The sequence below is a fragment of the Homo sapiens genome, chromosome X (assembly GCF_000001405.40).
Source record: "Homo sapiens chromosome X, GRCh38.p14 Primary Assembly".
NCBI lineage: Eukaryota > Metazoa > Chordata > Mammalia > Primates > Hominidae > Homo > Homo sapiens.
Window position 1 is genome coordinate 40518032 of NC_000023.11, and position 3406 is coordinate 40521437.

Here is a 3406-nt window from a genome sequence, read left to right on the forward strand (position 1 = left end):
CTTGGGAGACTGAGGCAGGAGAATCACTTGAAACTGGGAGGTGGAGATTGCAGTGAGCAGAGATTGTGCCACTGCACTCCAGCCTGGGTGACAGAGCGAGACTCTGTCTCAAAAAAAAAAAAAAAAAAAAAATCTTGGCCAATAAGCAGTGTGGAGACAAAAGTGACTCCACCTTGGATGCCAATTCGCCATGTTGACTTTTGATTGGCTCTAGTCCCATAAGTGCCTTTGATTCCTACTTTATTTACTGTCCCTGTTGTAAGAACATGTCAACCTTGATGCTATCACACAAATTATAGGCTCTGACGCACATAGCAGTCTCGCCTGCTCTGGAGGGCTGCCTCTCATCGTCTTGCACAGAGCACTTATACCCTTTCCCTGTGGTGTACAATCTGGGTCTAGGGGGGAACCGTGTGGAGATCTACCTGTCTTCCCGCTGCCCAAGACCATGCTTCTCTCTGTTAGTTCCCACAATAAAACATCCTTTACTGACAAACTGGATTTGTCTGCCTCATTCTTTGGTTTCTTGGCTCCTTTGGCATTTGAGGGCCACTTTGCATATATGACCCTTTCACGAACAAGCAGGAATAAGACAACCACACCAATGTCTCCATAAAAGGATTCCAAAGCTACAGGTGGGAGGGACTCCTTCTGTCTGGAATCAGGGAAGGCTCCGTGGAGGAAGTGGCATTCACACTGAGGGCATGAAGAGGACAGGATGGGGATTCTGGGAGGGTATCACAGGAATGGAGGCTAAAGTGGGAATAGATTTGCAGAGCCCCAGGAGGGACTGTCCCAGGTGACCTCCAGGTGACCTTCCATGTGTCTGGTGGAATAGGGTGGGGAGGGGAGCCTTGTGAGCACTGCCCGCAATCCTGGCTTCCCACCCCTGAAAGCCCTGGCCACGCTTCACCATGGCAGCGAGGACCCTTCACAGGCCAGCAGCTCAACAGGCAAGTGGCAGGGCTGGGTGTCAGGAGGCAGAGAGCACCCCGGATAGGCAGCTCCATTTCACCTGGAGCTGGTCTGGTTTGCAGGGGGCCAGCCATGGAGGTATTCAGGAAGGAGATGTACTGACTGGAGGAGGGAGAGGAGGGCTGAGAACATGCCCAGGGCCCAGGTTCTTCTTTACTTTAGTGGAACAATCGATCTGCACAAGCTTCCTGGAGAGCAATTCAGCCACGAGTCAAAGGCTTCCAAGGTGACCCAGCAATTGTAGAAAGTCATTGTAATGAAATAGCTGACACAGGTGAGTTCATCACAGTGTTGTTTGCATAATACTGAGCACCTTCCCTAAATGAACCATAGGGGGTACATTTAATAAGTTACAGTATATGCATACAACAGAACACTGGGCAGCCAGTCACAGATTCATGTGGATCGAATTTTATTTAGAAAAATACAAGTCATTGTTAAGTGAATGAAGCAGTTTCTGAATTAGTTCACATGACATTTCTAATTTTGTTTAAATAAATATGTTGATATGTATATATCTGCATAGGTGAAAATCTGATCAGATGTATACCAACACGTGGCAAGGATGGTTAACTCTCAGTAGGTAGAACTTTCAATGGTTTCAATTATCACTATCTTGCTTATCACTGTTGTTGAGTTGGGGTGGGGTTTTTTTCCATTTAAAGAAATATAGTTGACTGGGCATGGTGGCTCATGCCGTAGTCCCAGCACTTTGGGAAGCCAAGGCAGGTGCATCGTTTGAACCCCGGAGTTCAAGACCAGCCTGGGCAAACATGGTGAAAACTTTGTCTCTACAAAAAATACAAAAAAATTAGCCAGGTGTGGTGGCACGCGCCTGTGGTCCCAGCTTACTCTCAAGGCTGAGGTGGGAGGATCACTTGAGTCTGGGAGGTGGAGGTTGCAGTGAACCAAGATCGCACCACTGCACCCCAGCCTGGGCAACAGAGCGAGAAAAGAAAAGAAATATAGTTAACATGTACCGCTTTCGTAATTTTAAAAGGCAAGGGTCAAGGCAGGAGGAGGGGGATCACTCAAGCCCAGGAGTTCAAGATGAGCCTGGACAACACAGGGTGACCCCATCTCTACAAAAAAAAAAAAAAAATTAAAAAGTGGTGCTGTGGCGTGCACCTGTAATCCCAGCTACTTGGGAGGCTGAGCTGGGAGGATTGTTTGAGCCTGGAAAGTCGAGGCTGCAGTGAGGTATGATCACGTCACTGCACTCCAGCCTGGGCAATAGAGTGAGATCCTGTCTCTAAACATACATACATACATAAATACAAGCATACATACATACATACAAACATACATACATAAAAGCGAGGGTTTCTTTGCTCATATTTTCTCACCCATAATGGAACTTAGACTCTTTTATTTGGGCCTACATGAGGTTCACTGGGAGAAACACCACCATATAGAATCCTGAGAGCACTGGCTTGACAGAGTGTCTGGTCAGGGCGGCCCACAGGAGCCATGAGACAGAATCCCAGTTGTAGTGAAGGAGGGTCATTGTAGTCACCATTGTCTGAGGGGCAAGGCCAGGCCAATAAACACAGAGGGAGGCCCAAGGGCAGAAGGCAGGGGATGGAAGGAATCAAAACCATTCAGGGAAGGGGCAGGGCAGGGCACCTCGGGCTGTGATTGTCTTCACCGAGAGGCCAGAGGTCTCCATTGTTGTGCCCAGGCGGCCTGGGGAGCTGGCACCTTAAAACAGCCACGCAGGCCTGGGCACAAAGAGATGCTCAGTGATATTTGAACTTGGCATTCTCTGTAACTCCAGAGTACGAAAAAGAAGTTAACATCCGGAATCTTCCAGTGGAGGGAAGCTGTTCAGAACACAAAGCCACATTTGTGAAAAATGGGCTCGATTTGCTATTTGGAGAGCAATGAAACTGAAATCATTTCAGATTTTAAATGCCCAACATATTGGGACCCGCCCTCCGATAGATCCTCCAAATTAGTTTGAAAGCTCCCCATGCCTCACTTCAGGAGGAGATTCGCTTCTTTGCTAAAAATGTTCCTCTCCTGGGTTGGAAAACAAGAGCATCTGGGTTGGTAGGTGTCCCTGAGCCTGAGCCCTCGGTGTGCTACCAAGCAGCTTCTGCAGAGGGCTGGAGATGGAGTATGTTTTTCTTCCTCTCTTAGGTAATGAATTTGATCTAATGGGACTGTCTAAATGCCCAGATACCATGATGATAGGCACCCCATAAACACAGAGATAAACAGGTAGAGAGATATATGGAGGCAAGAGTAATTTGCTTCTAAGTGCCTTTTCACTCGTATAAATAAAGCAAGAAAATAAAGTTGTTGGAGGCATTTGCAATACTAATGTAAGGAGGAAATTAAGCGGTAATTACAGCGTTAAGGATAAATGAAAGGCCCACATGGTTTGTGTGCATGTGTGTGCAGGGAGCAAGGGTGGGAGAGGTGAGGG

At 47.5% G+C, this 3406-nt stretch overlaps 2 annotated features.

Moving 5' to 3' along the window:
- Positions 431 to 931: an enhancer, noted in NCBI's record as "H3K4me1 hESC enhancer chrX:40377714-40378214 (GRCh37/hg19 assembly coordinates)". NCBI's record gives its function as "activates a minimal SCP1, AML or CMV promoter by ChIP-STARR-seq in primed H9 embryonic stem cells {active_cell/tissue: H9 hESC(primed)}" and the evidence as "EXISTENCE:reporter gene assay evidence [ECO:0000049][PMID:30033119]".
- Positions 932 to 1432: an enhancer, noted in NCBI's record as "H3K4me1 hESC enhancer chrX:40378215-40378715 (GRCh37/hg19 assembly coordinates)". NCBI's record gives its function as "activates a minimal SCP1, AML or CMV promoter by ChIP-STARR-seq in primed H9 embryonic stem cells {active_cell/tissue: H9 hESC(primed)}" and the evidence as "EXISTENCE:reporter gene assay evidence [ECO:0000049][PMID:30033119]".